Below are 20,391 nucleotides of genomic sequence, written 5' to 3'. Positions count from 1 at the left end.
ATTATGAGGCTATGATTCGGATGGGCAGTAAATCACAATTCTGGGCACAACAGGAAGAATTTGATTTCCTCGCTTGGCTCAAAGCTTCCCTGGCAGAGGTGTGTTTTCGGTTCCATCTGCCAGAGCACAGCTTGCAACTCCCTGCGGGGTACAGGTTGGTCATGACTATAAATGCTATCCTATTCCAAGTGTGTTTCTATTGCAGTGGGGAACACCATTCAACACTCGGTTCTGGAAAGAATATTAGACGCATTGCAACACATCCTAGGAGGATCGCTGGGGAGCTAGGGTGGACATTAAGACCATCCATCCACCTCTTTGCCACCTCTAAGGCTTTTTCTATTAGATATCACAATGGGATTTGGATGTAGAACAAAAAGATGCTGCCAGATAAAGCTTTTTCTGAATTGTAGAATTACTACTGGCTTTGTGTTTCTTCAAAGTGTGTGTAACGTCTCCAACCCGGCCAACAAAAAGGTTGTTATGCGAATTATGAGTTATAATATCAATGTCACTTTTTTAACATTTTGCCTTCATATTTCAGAAAGGAACTGAAATAGAAATTATCTGCAAATAGAATTTGCTTCTCAAGAAATCCTTTGAAACCCTTTGAAAGCACCAAGCACTGTGGATTCACAGTGTGAGTCTGAGCTACTTGCATCACCTCTGTAAGGTACACTGACATCACACACTCATCTATCTCCACGGTGGCCCAAATGTGGCCCAGAAAGCCAGGATTCTACTGCTGGCTCCCTTTGGAGCTGTGTAGCTCAGTAAGGCCACCATTTGGGCCAATGGCCATCACCGGACCTATCATTTTTTACTCAAAGGAGTGGACATTGTGATTATATTCAAAATAGAAGACATTGAAACATTGTTATTACACTGAGCAATTCTATCCTGCAGAACAAAGAAGAAACATAATGAATCAGGTTGAATGATAAAGTGGGGGAAACACTGGTAACATGCATGAGAAACAACAGCACTGATTTCAAAGGATAAAAAAAAAGCTGCAAAACAATTTTTTAAATGATCCAAGAAACTGTTCAAAAATGACAAACAGAACTGACCAAGAAAATGCAACGCAAACAAGATAGCAGAGAAACAACGAGAGGCACGGATCCATCCTTCCCTAAGTCACCAAGCCCCACAGCTCCTCCTGCTCCTACCATGCTTCCTCTAAAGTGGTCCCAGAGCTACACATTAAGAAATATCCATCTCCCATCCTTCTTCCACTGTGGTGTGTCATCATTATACTATGACCCACCATTCATGGACAACTTCTGCTGTGTCCTGTGCTCCACAGTTCAATTCATTTTTCTCATCTAATAATCACAACATCTAATCTCGTCCCCTATGCAAAAGACAAGCATGTTGACGACCGCTGAGATGCCTTTACAGTGGCTAGCCTAGGATTTGAACCCTGCCTTGTCTGGTTCTTTCTTTTGCCAGGGTCTCTCAACCTTGGCACAATTAACATTTGGGGCTCGATAATTCTTTATCATAGGAGGCCACCCTGTGCCTTGCAGGATGTTCAGCAGCACCCCTGACCTCTAGTGACCAGATGCTCATAGTGCTCCCTCCTAAGCTGCAGCAGCAAAAGTGTCTCCAGACATCACCAAAGTCCCCTGAGTGGCAAAATCACCCCTGCTTGAAAACCACTGCTTTCAACTATGTTTTTAACCCAGCTGCCCTAATTTCATCCCAGATCGACAACAAGAAACACAGTGATTCTCCCGGGCCCATTTCAGCTGGGTGTGGAAACATAACTAAGTCATTTAAAGTAATGTATTTATTGTCGTATTTATTGTCTGTCTCTCCCCAGCCCACAGTGAAGTTGTCAAGACAAGGAACTATGTCTCTAATTCACCCTGGCATGGTGCCTGGCATGTAGTCAGTATCCAAGAAAGTTCATAATTTATAAATGAATGGATAAACCCAGGCCAGTATGAATGGTAATATTGGAAACAGGTGCAAGTCTATACTTTTTTTTTTTTTTTTGCATGTGATTGTAAATTAGTAAACCTTGTGGAGGACAAATTGGCAATATGTATTAAAATTTTAAAGATGAAACCCCTTTAACCTTTCAGCCAACAATTCCAAGCCTAAGAATTAATGCAGTAAACCCCATATTACCTACCTCAGGAAAACCCACCGGTGAGTTGCCCAAGTCAAGTTATTCATCCTCATGGTTCCCTGTGCTTTTTCTTCATAATATTTATCATCAAAATAATTAAATAGGCTCACTAGTCCTCCTCCTTTAAAGCAGGGACCAAGCATTTACAGGTTCTTAGTATATATTTGTTACATGAGTAATAATTTAGATGAGTAATTATAACAAGTAAATACATGTATATACATACATTTGGTATTATAACAGTGATTACTGCACCACTCTTATAGTAGTAAAAAAAATAGAAACAATCTAATGTCCATTTATAGGAATGTGGTTAAAAAGTATTCTACTGAGCATCTGTATATCTTCTTTGGACAAATGTCTATTTTGCCCATTTTTAAATCATGTTGGGTTGTTTGTTGTTGAGTTTTAGAAGCTCTTTATATATCTGGACATAAAAATATTGTCAGACATAAAATCTGCAAATATTTGCTACCATTCTATGACTTGCATTTTTATTCCATTTATAATGTATGTTGATGCATAAAAATATTTTTTAAATTTTGATGAAGATCAATTTATCTATTTGCTCTTTTATTGTCTGTGTGTTTGGTGTCATATCCAAGAAATCATTGCCAAATCTATTATAGTGAACTATTTCGCCTATATTTTCTTCTAAGAGTTTTGTAGTTGTAGTTTTTGTGTTTAGGTCTTTGATCCATTTTGAGTTAATTTTTGTATATGCTGTTAGCTAAGGGTCCAACTTCATTCTTTTGCATGTGGGTATCCAATTTTCCCAGCACCATTTATTGGAAAGATTGTCTTTTCTCCCTTTCAGTGGAGTGGCACCCTTGCTGGAAATCATTTGAACACATATGCAAAAATTTACTGTTGGGCTTTCTATTCTATCCCACTATTTATATGTCTGTCTTTATGCCAGTACCAAGCTGTTTTGATTATTGTTCCTTTGTAATGAGTTTTAAAGTCAGGAAGTTTGAGTCCTCCAACTTCATTCTTTTTCAAGATTGTTTTGGCTATTTAGAGTTCCTTGGCATTTTCTATAAATTTTAAGATGGACTTTCTATTTCTGCCAAAAAAATCATTGAGATTTTGATAGGGATTGCATTGTATCAGTAGATCACACTGGGTAATAAGTACATGAAAAGTTATACATGAGGCACAGTCAAAAACTCACATATAACTTTCAACTCCCCAAAAACTTAACTACTAATAGCCTACTGCTAACCAGAAGCCTTATCAATAAAACAAAATATTAATTAACATACTTTTTCTATGTTATATGTCTTATATACTGTATTCTTACAATAAACTAAGCTAGAGACAAAAGTTATTAAAGAAAACATAAGAAAGATAAAATATATTTACTCTTCATTAAGTGGAAGAGGATAATCACAAAGGTCTGCATCCTCATCATCTTCACATTGAGTGGGTTGAGGAGGAGGAGTAGAGGAGAGGTTGGTCTTGCTGTCTCAGGGGTGGCAGAGGTGGAAGAAAATCCATGTGTAAATGGAGCTGTACAGTTCAGCCCCGAGTTGTTCAAGGATCAACTGAAAATGCATGCACTATAAAAATGGATTTGATCTAAAATATTGAAAGACGTACAACTACTAGGTGGAAAGGAAAACAAGCAAGCTGCAGATCAGCATTACAAAGTGTTTCCTTTTTACAATCTGTAAGTATTGAAGTGTACATGAATAGATACCTTTATGTGTGTAGAAGAGAATGTCATTAACTGAGAGAAACCCAATTGTTAGCAATCTGTTTATCCATGAGAAATAGGATTCAAGACAACTTTCCTTTTCTGCTGCTACACATCAGTATTGTTTTAACTTTTTGCAACACGTATATTATTTTTATAAATAAAATGTTATCTATAAATAAGAAATATTTACTTTATTTGTAAATAAAGACAACAAAACCAACAACGGGGAAGACTTTGAAGACCAGTGTTCCCAGAGCCGTCAGCTCTGCTGCACTTGCTGTGTCTCTGGTGTCTGAGGTCACTCTCCTTAGCACTGGGATGTCCTGCCTGCAAAAGAGAGGATGACACTCAACCCCCTATGCTGATGGCTTGGGTCAGTTCTGGATGTACCACTCATTACCTGTACATTACTCTCTGCCAGTCTAGGTGTATGATCTAGGAAATGGGGTAATGATGACCTCATAATATGGGAAAGAATAGAAATAATCATGGTAAGAACCAGCACTAATTGAACACTCCTCATCTGTGCGCATAAATGTGTTAAACCCACGTAATCCTCTGGTGTTAGACAGTTTACCACTGCTACTAGCAGCAGGACAGGTGAGTGCCAGGCCCAGCTGGCCCTGCCTCTCCACAGAGGCACAGAAGCTGAATCCATCCTGTCTGACTCAGGGGCTGGCCCAGCTCCCTTCAAACACAGCCTCTCGTGGTCCTGAGGACTAGACACATTCACAGTGGCGTCACACCTGGCTGGGGTGGTGCTTGGTGAGGCTGTGTCCTTCGTTTTCCTTCACAGTGGCATTGAGGAGCTAGCTCCAACCTACGTGGGTGGAACTGACTCTCTGAGGAGCTCCTGAGTTGGGACTGAAACCAGCTCAACCCCACCATGTAAGGACTGTGTCCTGTTGACCTTGCAGGTGGAGCCCCAGGGCAGGTACTGCCCTACACAGCTTCTGTCCCACCCCAGACCCCCTCCCCTCTTCACACTCAGGTCTCATGCTCCAGAGCTGTGACAAGCACCTGACACAAACAGCTCCTGCTCTGGGCAGCTGCCAGTGGCGTGGCCTGTAAGGTCAGCAGTCAAGGACGTGCCTTTAGCAGATCATAATCAAGATCTACTGCGAGTGGCCAGGTGCAGTGGCTCACGCCTGGAATCCCAGCTTCTTGGGGGGGGCTGAGGCATGAGAATTGCTTGAACCCGGGAGGCAGAGGTTGCAGTGAGTCGAGACCACGCCACTGTACTCCAGCCTAGGCGACACTGTGTGAGAGTCTGTCTTGAAAAAAAAGAAAAAAAAAAAAAAGGCCAGGCGGGGTGGCTCACACCTGTAATCCCAGCACTTTGGGAGGCCGAGGCAGGCAGATCACGAGGTCAGGAGATCAACCCCATCCTGGCTAACATGGTGAAATCCCATCTCTATTAAAAATACAAAAAATTAGCCAGGCATAGTGGCAGTTGCCTGTAGTCCCGGCTACTCGGGAGGCTGAGGCAGAAGAATGCCCAGAACCCAGGAGGCAGAGCTTGCAGTGAGCCGAGATTGCACCGGTGCACTCCAACTTCGGTAACAGAGTGAGACTCTGTCAAAAAAAAAAAAACAAACAAACTATTGCGGATAAGGGAATAAGCAATAGTGTTCCAAGTTGTGCTCACCACTTATGGGACTTGCAAAGTCTCAAGCCAAAACAAAGCATCCATGTCTTAAAAACCTGAAGTTCCTCCCTGAAGAGGAAGCCCCCATAGGGGTGAGGGTAACAGGAGGTTGGGGTGCTGCCAGGAATGGAGTCCCCGGAGTTTTGTTGTCCTAGAAGAAATGAAGAGTTCACCAAGAATACAGACAACACTTGTATAAGTCTAACCAGCTGCCACAACAATGTGCCACAGGCTGGGTAAATGCAAGTTTATTTCTCATGGTTCTGGAGGCTGGAAGCTCAAGATGAAGATGAAGGCTGATTCGGTTCCCGGGAGGGACGCTTCTTGGTTTGTGCGTCACGCCTTCTCGCCATGTCCCAGAGCTCTGATTTCTCTTCGTCTAACTATTAGGCCACCAGTCCTATGACCTAATTTAGCCTAATTACCTCCTTAAATATCCTTTTATATATTTATGCAAGCAGGGAATGTGTTCCGTCCATAGCAACACTCTTCTGTTTATTCATTTATTCCAAAACAGTGACTGATTATCTATGCCAGACCCTGGACCCTCCAGTGAGGGGAGACTGTGGAAATCCCACGCAGCCCCTCCCCTCCGTCAGCCTTCACTGATGACTGGAGGGAGAGACCAGCATGCAGAGGACACATCAGCCACTGTGATGGCGAATGAGGGCACCCCTTACACTCACTTGTCTACATAACTCAACATCTTCCCATACCGGCTCTTCCTCCCCTCACCCAGCTCAGGGCCTGACACCACACTCAGTCAAGCCAGGGCCAAAAATCCAGCTCCTTCCATCCAGGGCCAGAAATCCAGCTCCTTCCATCCAGGGTCAGAAATCCAGCGCCTTCCATCCAGGGTCAGAAATCCAGCGCCTTCCATCCAGGGTCAGAAATCCAGCTCCTTCCATCCAGGACCAGAAATCCAGCTCCTTCCATCCAGGGCCAGAAATCCAGCGCCTTCCATCCAGGGTCAGAAATCCAGCGCCTTCCATCCAGGGTCAGAAATCCAGCTCCTTCCATCCAGGACCAGAAATCCAGCTCCTTCCATCTGCCAGTGGAGGGTGGTTAACTTTAGCTTCTTAATTCCTCTCAAGTTCCTGTCTCATTTCTTCCCCCTTCCCCATATTGTGTGAGACCCTAATGGCTCCTCAGCCCCTTCCTGGGTCTTCCCAAGTCCAAGCTGACGCCCTCTCCATGCATCCTCGACACCTCCATATTAGACTAGTTCTATAATGGCAACAGGCTCATGTAATTCCTCTTCCAAAGTCTCCCTATTGCCTAAGAAGAAAACCAAAGCTGCTCAATAAGACACTCAGAAGCCTAAATGTGCACCCTCCACACACACACAAGCCTAAATGCACGCACACACCACAGCGTAAATACACACACAAACACGCAAGCCAAAATGCACACATACACACACACACGCAAGCCTAAATGCACGTACACACACACAAGCCAAAATGCACACACACACAAATCTAAATGCACACACACAAAAGCCTAAATGGACACACACACAAACACACAAGCCAAAATGCAAACACACAAAAGCCTAAATACACGCACACACAAGCCTAAATGCACGTACATGCACACACACACGCCTAAATGCACACACACAAATCTAAATGCACACACACAAACACACAATCCCAAATACAGGCAGACACACACACAAGCCTAAATGCACACACGGAAAAGCCTAAATGTGCACCACACGCACACAAAGATATGAGCCTAAATGCAAACCACACATAAGCCTTAATGCACCACACACACACGCATGCATCTCCTATATAGGCCTTGGTCCCTGCTCTCCTGAGATGTCCGTGGTCCTCCCACCACACTTTCATCTACTTGGCCCCCATCTGCTCTACAACCTCATCCCGGGTGTCATTTCCTCCATTAGACTGTCATTCATCACAGGTGGGTCAGTAGCCTCATCCCTGGGCTGTCAAAGGCTTGTGCACTTTCTGCCACCACAGCCCCCATCAGTCTCCTTAGTCAGCGCCCACCCACAAAGGCCACACTTTGGTCAATTGTGAGTGATGAAGCCAGGACTCTGGCCAGTCTCACTGCAATATTTATGTGAAAGTAGATGCTGCATTCTGCTTGTATGTGGTTTCTCCTGGGCACATGGCACAGGACCTGGCCTCCTTATCATCTCGCCCGGGCTCCCATGCCTTCCGAGCTGGCTACCACGCCTCACTCCTCAAGAGCGCCCAGGAGTGAGCTCTGCTCTCCAGCATCACCCTGTTGATGGACGTGAGCGGAACAGGGTGATGCCCTGGACACTGGGACTAAAATGACCTTCTTCTAGCACCCTCACAGGATGCTTGAAATCCTGAAAATGTAACCTTAAAAAGCAAAGTGTTTCTTCTCAAAAGAAGACATGTATGCAGCCAAGAGACACATGAAAAAATGCTCATCATCCCTGGCCATCAGAGGAATGCAAATCAAAACCACAATGAGATACCATCTCCCACCAGTTAGAATGGCGATCATTAAAAAGTCAGGAAACAGCAGGTGCTGGAGAGGATGTGAGGAAATAGGAACACTTTTACACTGTTGGTGGGACTGTAAACTAGTTCAACCATTGTGGAAGTCGGTGTGGCGATTCCTCAGGGATCTAGAACTAGAAATGCCATTTGACCCAGCCATCCCATTACTGGGTATATACCCAAAGGACTATAAATCATGCTGCTATAAAGACACATGCACACGTATGTTACTGCAGCACTTTCACAATTGCAAAGACTTGGAACCAACCCAAATGTCCATCAATGATAGACTGGATTAAGAAAAATGTGACACATATACACCATGGACTACTATGCAGCCATGAAAAAGGATGAGCTCATGTCCTTTGCAGCAACATGGATGAAGCTGGAAACCACCATTCTGAGCAAACTATCACAAGGACAAAAAACCAAACACCGCATGTTCTCACTCATAGGTGTGAATTGAACAATGAGAACACATGGACATAGGGTGGGTAACATCACACACCGGGGCCTGTTGTGGGGTAGGGGGAGGGGAGACAGATAGCATTAGGAGAAATACCTAATGTAAATGATGAGCTAATGGGTGCAGCAAACCAACACAGCACATGTATAAATATGTAACAAACCTGTACGTTGTGCACATGTACCCTAGAACTTCAAGTATAATAAAAAAATAAATAAAATAAATAAAAAATAAAAATAAAATTTAGAAAAAAAGTTTTCCAGGTTCAGAGCAGAAAACATCAGTCCTGAAAATCAGGATTCCAGGGTTTAGATTCCTTTCACTCCCAGGATCTACAGACACCATCGGACCTCACATGGTGCCCGGCAGCATTCTGAGATTTTTTACTTTATTATCTTGTAAACCCCCAAAATTTGAGACAGGTCTCATTTAATTTAAAAAGTTTATTTTGCCAAGGTTGAGGATGTACCTCTGACATAGCCTCAGGAAATCCTAACAACATGTGCTCCAGGTGGTCAAGGCACAGCTTGCTTTTATACATTTTAGGGAGACATGAGACATCAATCAATGTATAAGAAGTACAATAGTTCTGTCCAGAAAGGCAGAGACAGCTCAAAGCAAGGCCCCCACCACTGGGGGCTTCCAGGTCACAGGTATGTGAGAGACAGACAGTTGCATTCTTTTTATTGTATTTTTGAGACGGAGTGCGGTTTTGTCACCCAGGTTGAAGTGCAGTGGTGCGATCTCGGCTCACTACAACCAATGTGTCCTGGTTTCAAGCAATTCTCCGGCCTCCGCCTTTTGAGTAGGTGGGATTACAGGTGTGTGCCACCACACCCAGCTAATTTTTGTATTTTTAGTAAGGACGGGGCTTCACCATGTTGGCCAGGCTGGTCTCGAACTCCTAACCTCAGGCGATCTGCCCGCCTCGGCCTCCCAGAGTGTTAGGATTACAGACGTGAGCCACTGCGCCCTGACCGGTTGCATTCTTTTGAATTTATTATAAGTCTTTCCAAAAAAGTTAATCGAAATACGCATGTATCTCTGGGAGCAAAAAGATGACTTGAATAGAAAAAGAGGCAGATTCGCAATAAGCAGTTCCCAGCTTGAAGGTGCCTGAGATATTTTTCTTTCACAATCTTATTGAACCCACACCTGGTGTAATAACCTGGAAGCCTCCCCAGGAGGCGGTCAGCACAGAGGCTAGGGAATGAGGCTTTCCAGGCCATTACACCAGTTTTCCATTTACCAGCAGGGTGACCTTGGGCAATTTGTTTCAATTCTCTGAACCCCAGTGTTTTTCTTCTCTAACATGAGGATTATATTGCCTGGTCAAAGAATCATAGTGTGGCTTCAATAAGACAGAAGGAAAGGGACAGAAACAGATCCGATAGAATACTGTAGCTAGCTCATTGAGGCAGTTCACAGACGGTGTTTGGGAGGAACTTGGAAGAGGCTGAGCCATGTCTTACCCAGCACCAGCAAGGAAAGCTGTGTTTCGGTTCTTTCTTTTCTCTTTCCACAATCTCACTGCTCCTAGGTCAGGCATGGCTCAGCCTCTTCCAAGTTTTCTCCCAAACACCCTTTGTGAACTGCCTCAATGAGCTAGCTACAGGATCCCACTGCATCTTTCTGTCTCCTTCTTTCTGTCTCTCTGAATCTATTTCTCTCTATCTCTCTCTCTCTCTCTATTTCCATCTCTCTCTGTCTGTTTCTATCTCTCTGTTTCTCTGTGTCTCTCTACTGTCTCTCTGCATGTCTCTGTCTCTTCCTCTGTCTCTGTTTTTGTTTGTCCATCTTTCTGGATCTCTCTCTGTCTTTCTCTGGCAGGGTTGAAGTGGGAGTATACGGCAGGTTCATGTTTGGGTGCAGAATGGCATTCTGCCAGCGGTAGAGTGGCTGAGGGTCACTCCACTCTGGGTGTCTCATGCCATGTGGCTGCAGTATGGGGTTCTCATTGGACCACCGTGACAGTGTAGGGTGGATGTCATTCCTGGAAACTGAGCCTCAAGCTGGGTTCTCCAGCAATGCCACCACCCCCCACCAACCCTGATATCCTCCGAATAAACTCTTCCCTTCCTTGGTCAGCGAGAGCCAGCGTCTGCTGCTTGCAAATAAGCCACTGAGACATCAGGAAAGCTGCTCACAGAATTACAATGAAAATCAGTAATAAATAAAATGTTTCTTAAATCTTTAGAATCAAGGAAAACCTGAGGGATACTTGGAGAGTCGCTAACAGCACCCCAATCTGGCAGTTGTAGCTCTGCAGGGTGGGCCCAGGCTGGCCCAGACCCTCACCCTCCAAGGGCCACACTGGGGGCTCACTTTCTGAGGAGTGCCCTTTGGAAACGTCCCAGGAACACGTCTAGTGGGAAAAGAGAAAAGTTGGTCCATCGAGGAGAGTGTTCTGCATAAGGGGAGAGATGAGAAGGTAGCCTTGGCCAGAGGAAGAAACTTCATTACAACCAGCTCTCCTTCTGCAAGGGAAGAGGGTGAAGTTTGAGTTTGTCTTGCAGGAAGACAATCAAACTAAAGAGGCCAACACCAGCTTAGAGCCGAGCGGCCCCCTGCTCAGAGCTTCCCTGTGGCTCTCCTCCATGTGATCCAGAAGGAGGGACTCCAGTGTGAACTGCCTGTTCCAGAAACCCCATCAGAACTGCCTAACCTAGAAAACCAAACAGGAGGAGCTGGCACCAGGGCTCCAGGCTGAAAGCTAAATCCAGCGGCAGCCAGATGGAGACAATGTGCCATGTGACTGCTGACTGCTCAGGGCAAATGACACCAGGGGTTAGCGATTAGAAGTTCACCCTTGACTGTGGCACCTCCCTTCAGTTCCGTCGACGAGGTTGTGCAATCCACCAGTCTTATAAATACAGTGACGCTCCAGCCTCTGGAAGCCTCTGTCAGCTCAGCCTCCAAAGGAGCCAGCGTCTCCCCAGTTCCTGAAATCCTGGGTGTTGCCTGCCAGTCGCCATGAGAACTTCCTACCTTCTGCTGTTTACTCTCTGCTTACTTTTGTCTGAGATGGCCTCAGGTAAGCTCTGGTACCTGCAAGAGTTTCCCATCCCCAGGGCTGGGGACAATGGGGCTGATGTGAGTCTCGGATGGCTGCCTCCGTGTCCCAAGGGACGAGGAACAAGCAGCAGGAAAGCATCCCGTGGTTGAGTGGCCTGCAGTTGGCAGAAGGCAGCAGGCAAGCCCTGCCAAGCCTTCAGGGTCTGTGAGCCGCCAAGGAGTGAGCCTGGCAGGGTCATGGCGCTTGTCACAGGCAGCTGCCTGCATCCTTGTCCTGGACATGTAGACAGTATCCTATGTGGATGAGATTGCTGCTTCCCCTGCAAGACGACTCCTCACACTGAGAGGCCAGCTTCCTATGCAGAGAGAGGGGCCGGCCCCATCCTCAGCCCACGTCACTGGGTGCAGCCTCCTGGGGTGCCCTGGTACAGGTGAGGTGCTGCCGCCCCACCCATCAGGCCAGCTCAGCCGGTGCCTTGGACTCACCTCCTGTGCAGGCAGGCGGTCCTCTCCCTCTCCTGAGAAATGCATCCACATTCTCCAGGTTAGCAGTCTCCCCAGTCAATAGGAGGGGGCTTCCTGTGAGCCAGGTGTATGTCAGCTTCTCTGGGCCAAAGCAGCCATGACCCTGACATGATGGTGGGACGTGCAGGAGGAATCGGGAACATGTTTTATCCCAGCCCTATCCTTGTTCACACGAGTCACATGGTGCTAAGCCTTGGTTTATTCATCTGCAGAATGAGGGGCTGGGAAGGATGATCCTGAAAGCAAGCACTCCAGTTCAGAAAGTCTCTGTAAGATCCTATTGTAAGTTTCTCTAGGCCATCACTGTATCCAGCAGATAGGCTTAATTTATTCCAATTATGCCTCAGTTTTTCCATCTGAAAGCTGAGTACAAAAGCATTCTAAATGCAGAACTTTTCATGCTGCCAGTTGCTACAATGGATTTTGTTTTTTTGTTTTTTTTTTTGGTTTTTGGTTTTTGGTTTTTGTTTTTGCTTTGCTTTTTTTTTGAGACAGGGTCTCACTCTGTCACCCAGGCTAAAGTGCAGTGGTGTGATCTCGCCTCACTGCAGCCTCTGCCTCCTGAGCTCAGGCCATCCTCCCACCTCAGCCTCCCAAGAAACTGTGACTACAGGCATGCACCACCACACCTGGCTAATTTTTTTATTTTTATTTTTTCGTAGAGATAAGGTCTTACTGTGTTGACCAGGCTGGTCTCAAACTCCTGGGCACAAGCAACCCTCCTAGTTCAGACTCCCAAAGTTCTGGGATTATAGGCATGAGCCACTCCACTCAGCCTACCGTGTTTTTTTGTTTTGTTTTGTTTTGTTTTTTTGAGATGGAGTCTTGCTCTGTCACCCAGGCTGGAGTGCAATGGCACAATCTCAGCTCACTGCAACCTCCACCTCCTGGGTTCAAGCAATTCTCCTGCCTCAGCCTCCTGAGTTAGCTGGGATTACAGGTGCATGCCACCAAGCCTGGCTAATTTTTGTATTTTTTAGTACAGACGGGGTTTCACCATGCTGGTCATGCTGGTCTTTAACTCCTGACCTCATGGTCCGCCTGCCTCCGCCTCCCAAAGTGCTGGGATTACAGCCATGAGCCACCACGCCCAGCCCATGTTTTTTTAAAGGAATAGAAAATATTACTTCATGCCATGTAGTAAAAGTAGATGCTATTTAATTACACCCATATTTCAGTTTGGGGTGTGTGCATATGTTTTTACTGAGTAGCAGTGAGAAATTTCTTTCTGATGGTGGTTCAGTCCAAACTCAAAAGGGTTTGAAAGGCACTTTGTTAACATAAAGAATTTTTGTTTTCAGTCTATTATATCTAAATTGAATTATGAGAAGCTATTCTCGAGCCTTCCCAGTCACAACTCCCTCCTACCCCCAAGAATAATCACTCACTTGACTTTTATGGTGGTAACTTTTCATATTCTTTACACTTTTGCCACACTAATTAATATTCAGGTTGAATAGTACAGCTTGGTTTGTGCACACATTTCTATTGGCCAGTAGGTGCCCTTATGCCTCTATTTCTACATGCTGAAAAGTTGCATCACCGGATCATAGGCTATGCATATATTCAATTGTATTGGACAATGCCAAACTGTTTTCCAAGATTATTTACACCAACTTGCACTCCCACAAGCAGTGAATAAGAGTTCCTCTTGCTCTGTATCCTTGCCAACATTTGATAACATCAATTATTTTTAAATTTTAACCACCTGGTGAGTGTAGCAATAGCTCACTGGAGTTTTAATCTGCATTTCCCTGATAAATAATAAGTTGGGCCCTTTTATACATAGTTACAGGCAACTGGGTTATTTTTTGTAAAATACCTGTTTGTCTTTTGTCCATGTTTTCTTTTGGATTATCTGTCTTTTCTTATTGGTTTGTAGTTCTTTATGTATTTTCTATGCAAGCCTTTTGTCAATTATATACATCACAAATATCTTCTCTTGCTTTGTGTTTTGATTTTTCACTCTCTTAATGGAAACTTTCCTAGAAAAGAGGCTTTTATCATGATTTCAATGTAGTCGAATGTGTCATGTCTTTTTCCGTAAGGTTACTGCACTTTCTATCTTGTTTAAGAAGACTTTCTTTACATCAAAGACATGAAGATAGTCCCCAATATTGTCTTCTAAAAGCTTATCCTTTTTCTTTTTACATTTAGACTTACAATCCATCTGGCAATGGGGTGTGTGTGTGTGTGTGTGTGTGTGTGTGTGTGTGTGTGTGTGTGGCTTCGGTATGAAGTAACGGTCAAGTTACTTTTTTTCCCCAATATGAATATCTGATTGTCCAGAACCAACTTTTTTTTTTTTTGAGACTGAGTCTCGCTCTGTCACCCAGGCTGTAGTGCAGTGGCACAATCTTGGCTAACCGCAACCCCTCCCTCCCAGGTTCAAGGGATTCTCCTGCCTCAGCCTCCCGAGTGGCTGGGATTACAGGCGCCTGTCACCACACCTGGCTAATTTTTGTATTTTTAGTAGAGAGCAGGTTTCACCATGTTGGCCAGGCTGGTCTCAAATACCTGACCTCAAGTTATCTGCCTGCCTCTGCCTCACAAAGTGCTGGGATTACAGCCATGAGCCACCATGCCCAGCCCAGAACCAACTGTTGATAAGACTATTTTTCCCCACTGTTCTGCTGAGCCACTACTATTCTACATCAATTCTCCATGTATGCATGAGCCTCTTTCTACACTCTATCTTATTCCATTTGGACATTTTTCTGTCCTTGTGCCATAAGCACATTGCCTTAATTACAGACGCTCTACACTTAGTCTTGAAATACAGTAAAGCAAGACCTCTCACCTTTTTTCCAAATGTGTCTTGGCTATTCTCGGCCCTTTGAATTTCCAAATAAAATTTAGAATCACTTTGTCAAATTAGAACCTCTGGGGATTCCCATGGTATTTGGTTGAACCAGAAGATTAATTTTTTTTAAAAAAGTAATCTTCAAATGCTTTAACAGAGCATTTCCACTCATTTAGGTCTTCTTCATTTCAAAATGTTTCAGGCCTTCATAATAACTTTTTTTATGTTAGTAGGATGTGATGTTCCTGCTTTTGTTTCGGTCTTTCTCTCAAATCTTGACCTAGTAATTCTTTACTGTTGGTTCTCTAATACCTACAAAGTGCACATGTGCGTGTGTGTGCGTGTGTGTGTGTGTGTGTGTGTGTGTGTATGTCAGATATTCTAGCTGTTCTTTTTGGGCTGCCTGGTCCACAATTATTGGAAAACAAAAACCTTCAGAAGCATTTAGATTACACTAACATCCTTAAGAAGCACGTAAGAGAAACAGACACAGGCACAGCAATATCTAACACAAGGTGAAGGCAAATGTCATGAAAATGTTAAAGGCAAGTGCTTTTAAAAGGCCCCTAGACTGAAAGCAGCATAGACTGCTCCAACAGGAAGGAACCTCAATATTCCAGACCAAAGGTTGTAAAAGTATGGCCTCTGGACCAGAAGCTTCAGTGTCACCTAGGAGCTTGTTTTAAAATGCAAATTATCAGCCCCAACCCAGACCCACTCAGATGCTGAGGAATGGAATGTGATCTTGTCACCCAGGTAATGAGCATAGTACCCCACAGTTAGTTTTCCACACTCCTCTGCCTCCTTTCCCCTCTAGTAGCCCCCAGTGTCTCAGTGTTTAGCCCCCACTTATAACTGAGAACATGTGGTACTTGGCTTTCTTTTCCTGTGTTAATTTGTTTAGGATATTGGCCTCCAGCTGCATCTGTGTTGCTGCAAAGGACACACCTTCATTCTTTTTTATGGCTGCGTAGTCTCCTCCGTTTTAAATTTGAGAAGCTGCTGCCTAGAGAGGTTGAGTGGTTTGCAAAAGATCACACAGTAGATTAGATGTGGAACACAGAATGTAATCAAAGTACCCTCTCACTAACTTTGCTGCAATTCCTTTTGTGTCCCATAATGTACTAGATCCTGGAAGGTAATGCCAGAAATTAGTTCTGGTTATGCACCGTGACACCACAGTCAACCAGCAGTGTGGTGAAGTGGAATGAGAACTGAAGTGAGATCAGGAGGCATCCATTCTGGTCCGGGGTTGGTCTTTGACCAGCTACATGCTCTGGGGACATCACTGGACCTTGTTCCTTCATCTGGGGAGAGGATCACAGAAAGGTTGAATTAATTGAGTTCCGAAGTCCATCCTGGCTCTAAAAAGCTACATCCATATTAAATTTGGGCCTCCTCTGCTTAATCAGCATATATACACCCAACCATTTGATTACTGAGAAGAACAATCAAGAACAAAGATGTATAAACCTTCTCGATTTCAAAGTGCTTTCAAATTTATATGCTCAGTTGATCTCTCTAATAACAGATAATCACTTGGAGAGGTTCCATCTTTCGCAGTGTGGGTTGGAGTAGGCATCCTCTAAGTATCTTTCCAGCACTGGGAGCCTCCAGTGCAGGGAGACTAAAGCAGAAAGTGGAGACTTTGGCAGAGTCTAGCTGGTCATGATCTTACTTGAGGTCAACATTATGGCGAGATTATTAAAACATAGTACAATCTCAGACAGCCTCATTAGGAATCAGTCAGAGAAAAAGAATATAAGCTGGCAATCAAGAGACTGTGTTTTGTATGAACAAATGAGTGGCCTTGGCCCAAGATGCTTCCCTGAGTACTGGGATGGGAGAACCAGAGTGCCTCTCAATTCCCTTCCATCTCCACAGCAACACAAAAAAACTCTTCTTTTCTCATTCTCCTCAATGCCTGGTTTCCGGGCCCTTCCCAAACCTCTTCATTCTCCTGTGGATGTGTTTAAGTTGGCCAATAGACTTCCCAACGTTTGAAGCCTGGTATCAATACAGAGTACCTTCTATTGAAATGAAGTTGAATAAAACGTTCTGCAGTGGTAAAAAGATTCTATATCTGCTGTTCAATGAATGCAGCACCCACTAGCCACATAGTGCTCGTGAGCACTTGCAATGCGGCTAGGGTGATTTCAATTAACCTAAAAGAGAACAGCCACAGGGAGCATGTGGCTGCCATATTGGATGGTGCTGCTTTGAGAACAAAATGAGAGAAATGAAGCCTCTATTTACCTTGGTTGGCGGAACACATTGAAGGGACTCTGTATTGATACCAGGCTTCAAACTTTGGGAAGTGTACTGGCCAACTTAAACACATCCACAGGAGAATGAAGAGGTTTGGGAAGGGACCAGAAACCAGGCATTGAGGACAATGAGAAGAGTTTTTCAAAAGTGGAATTACTGCAAAAAGTGGAAAAATAGCCTTTGGATGGAAGTTACTGATGAGACAATTTCCATCGGTGTGAAAGCCATCTTTCCAACAGAGATCTGCAACATGAGAATGTACTGTCTCCTAGGGTAGCGATGGCCTCTTGTATTAGTCCGCTCAGGCTACCAGATTTATCGTTTAAACTGCCCATAAACAGACCAGGCAGTTTAAACAACAGAAATTTATTTCCTCGCAGTCCTGGAGGCAGGAAGTCTGCGATCAAGGTGGAAGCAGGGTTGGCTTCTTCTCAGGTGTCTGTCCTTGGCTGGTAGATGACCGCCGCCTCCCTGGGTCCTCACATGGTCTTTCCTCTGTGTGTGTCTGTCCCAATCTCTTCTTATAAGGATGCAAGTCTTATGGATCAGAGCACACCCCAATGACCGTGTTTAACTTGAATCACCTCTTTAAAGTTTCTCTCTCCAAATACAATCACCTTCTGAGGCACTGTTAGGGCTTCGACACAGGAATTCTTTTCCTAGGGGATTCAGTTCAGTCCAAAACGCCTACCAGTGGAGACTTGCAACATGGCGGCCTGCTGGTCCCTCGCCAGGAATATCACAGGCGACTGTTCCCTGTTGCATGGAATAGAAGGCTATTCCAGAGTACTGTCTCTATTTATCAGATCTGGGATACTGGGAGAAGGGCAAAATAAAGTCCAAGTAGAAAAAAAAACTATGAAAGTTTTAGAGAGTAACCATAATTTCAGCCCGATGTGAAACGATCCTAGATTTCAGCTGAAATAGTGATGTGGGAAGTGAGGGGGCCGGGATTCAAGGCAGAGGGAACAGCGTAACTGAAGGCATGGAAGGAGGGAAGTGTAGGCTGTGTTTGAAGAGTGGCAGCTGCTTCCACATTTCTAAAACACAGGATGTGATTTTGGGGTGTGTTGAGACAAGGCAGAAAACTTGTTTGGAAAAATAACTTGAATTCCCTGCACATTTAAAATCTCTCAGCAGAAGAAAACCCCACTCAGAACCCCACTGCTCATTCCTTGGCTTGTATTTGGCCACAGCTGGCATAGCCCCAGACTGAGTAAGCTGTTCAGACACCTCATTTCATGAGTAGCCCCAAAGATCAATCATGGGCCAATTTCTTGGAAGAGAAGACTCTCCGGTGTTTTGCAGTTATTTGTTCTGCTTTCGCGAGATGTTCTCAAATCGTTGCAGCTACAAGCCATGAGTCTGAAGTGTTTGTGTTCCCTCCTTACAGGTGGTAACTTTCTCACAGGCCTTGGCCACAGATCTGATCATTACAATTGCGTCAGCAGTGGAGGGCAATGTCTCTATTCTGCCTGCCCGATCTTTACCAAAATTCAAGGCACCTGTTACAGAGGGAAGGCCAAGTGCTGCAAGTGAGCTGGGAGTGACCAGAAGAAATGACGCAGAAGTGAAATGAACTTTTTATAAGCATTCTTTTAATAAAGGAAAATTGCTTTTGAAGTATACCTCCTTTGGGCCAAAATGAATCTTGTGTCTCAATTGGAAGAGGTAAAGAAGTAGGGGGTTAGGGTGCATGGGTTGGAACGTGAGACAGGTCGAACCACAAAGCCTGCCTGGAAAAGGGGAGTGATGTCCTAGGCTTCAGTGATGTCACCTCCACTTTGTTTGATCCACAAACCAACAGGTGACTGATTTTGGTTTTTTTTTTTTTGGTTTTTTTTTTTTTTTTTTTTTTTTGAGCTGGTGTTTCACTCTTGTCGCCCAGGCTGAAGTGCAGTGGCACAATCTCGGCTCACTGCAACCTCTGCCTCCCAAGCCCAAGCAGTTCTCCTGCCTCAGCCTCCCGACTAGCTCGGATTACAGGTGCCGGCCACCATACCTGGCTAATTTTTGGGGTTTGTTTTTGTTTTTAGTAAAGACAGGGTTTCACCATGTTGACCAGGCTGGTCTCGAACTCCTGACCACAGGTGATCCACCCGCCTTGGCCTCCCAAAATGCCAAAGTGCTGGGATTACAGGCATGAGCCACGACGCCGGCCCCAACACATGACTGATTCTCAAGTGTCCACATAATTCAGAGGTCTCAGCAGTCTGCTCAGTGAAATAGTCCTTTGGCAGGACCCAGAACTTCCATTTTTTCTCCTTTCTGGTCTTAGGGCACTGTGTTGGTTAACTTTAGCATTTGAGAATCTCCAGGACTACTTGGAGAAATGGCAGCCTCCAAGTCTGGAACATAAGATGTACAAGACAAGCCTGAGTTATTTTGCTGTGCTAGAAATAAGACATCTCAAAGACTGAAGGGTCGCACCAAAAGAACACCAGCTCCAAATCAAAGGGGAGCCCAATGGCCACAGATGAGACATTTTTCCTAACTGCAGTAACTAATGATAACAATTGATTGACGCACACAAATACATAAACATCCATGAGTTCATGATGACAATTAAATAGTTTCATTTATAATTAGAGCTTGTTACAGCACCAACTTATCACTTCAGAAATTTATTCTGCATTTTCAGTACAAACTGCCTTTTAGGGTGAACAATAGTTAAGGAAATGCCTTCTTTATAGAATTTCCCCAACTAATAAATGAAAAAGGGATGATAGAATAATAAAATCACCATATTGCAACCCTGAATGAAATTATAGGTCTAAAGCAATCATCAATGGACTGTTTTAGAACCATTTGGTGAAAAGCTTGGCAGGGAATTTGATAACTGAGGGTTAAGGGTGCACTCGATCATCAGTCTTACCCTCCCTAAAACTGAGACAACCAGACATTAATGGATTTCCTGTTGTGATGTAATAAGAATTACACAGCACCACCCATGAACTATTCTTGCCCAAAGAAATGGAACCTGAAACTAATTGAGTTTCTAGATCTAACTACTAGTTTACGGAAAATACAGGACTTTCGGAAACAAGCGAAACAACAGCACAGGAAGCAGTGGGTCAAATCCAGAGTGTGAGACATTCTACAGGAAAAATAACCTTGTTTCTCCAAGAAACCAATGCCATGATGAAAAAAAAGGAGCATGACTGTTGAAAAAGAGAGAAAGGAGACAAAACAGCCAGCATGTGGTCTTGTGTGGCCCCTATATTGAACAGTCTTCCTGGCCGGGTGTAGTGGCTCACACCTGTAATCCCAGCACTTTGGGAGGCCAAGGACGGTGGATCACCTGAGGTCAGGAGTTCGAGACC

The 20,391-nt window shown here is 44.5% G+C and overlaps 1 protein-coding gene across 1 annotated transcript; it reads left to right on the top strand.

Moving 5' to 3' along the window:
- Positions 1–11,351: 11,351 nt before the first annotated feature.
- On the top strand, positions 11,352–18,696 carry DEFB1 (defensin beta 1). The gene is made up of 2 exons (NM_005218.4): positions 11,352–11,491; positions 18,462–18,696. The coding sequence occupies exons 1-2, from the start codon at positions 11,431–11,433 to the stop codon at positions 18,605–18,607; spliced, it is 207 nt and encodes a 68-aa protein (NP_005209.1). The 5' UTR covers positions 11,352–11,430; the 3' UTR covers positions 18,608–18,696.
- Positions 18,697–20,391: the final 1,695 nt, after the last annotated feature.

The sequence above is a fragment of the Homo sapiens genome, chromosome 8, assembly GCF_000001405.40.
Source record: "Homo sapiens chromosome 8, GRCh38.p14 Primary Assembly".
NCBI lineage: Eukaryota > Metazoa > Chordata > Mammalia > Primates > Hominidae > Homo > Homo sapiens.
This window is presented reverse-complemented; position numbering and strand designations above follow the sequence as displayed.

Coding starts and splice junctions, on each gene's coding strand:
- DEFB1 (NM_005218.4), top strand. CDS start 11,431: ATGAGAACTTCCTACCTTCTGCTGTTTACTCTCTGCTTACTTTTGTCT. Junction 11,492..18,461: donor TTTGTCTGAGATGGCCTCAG/GTAAGCTCTGGT, acceptor CCCTCCTTACAG/GTGGTAACTTTCTCACAGGC.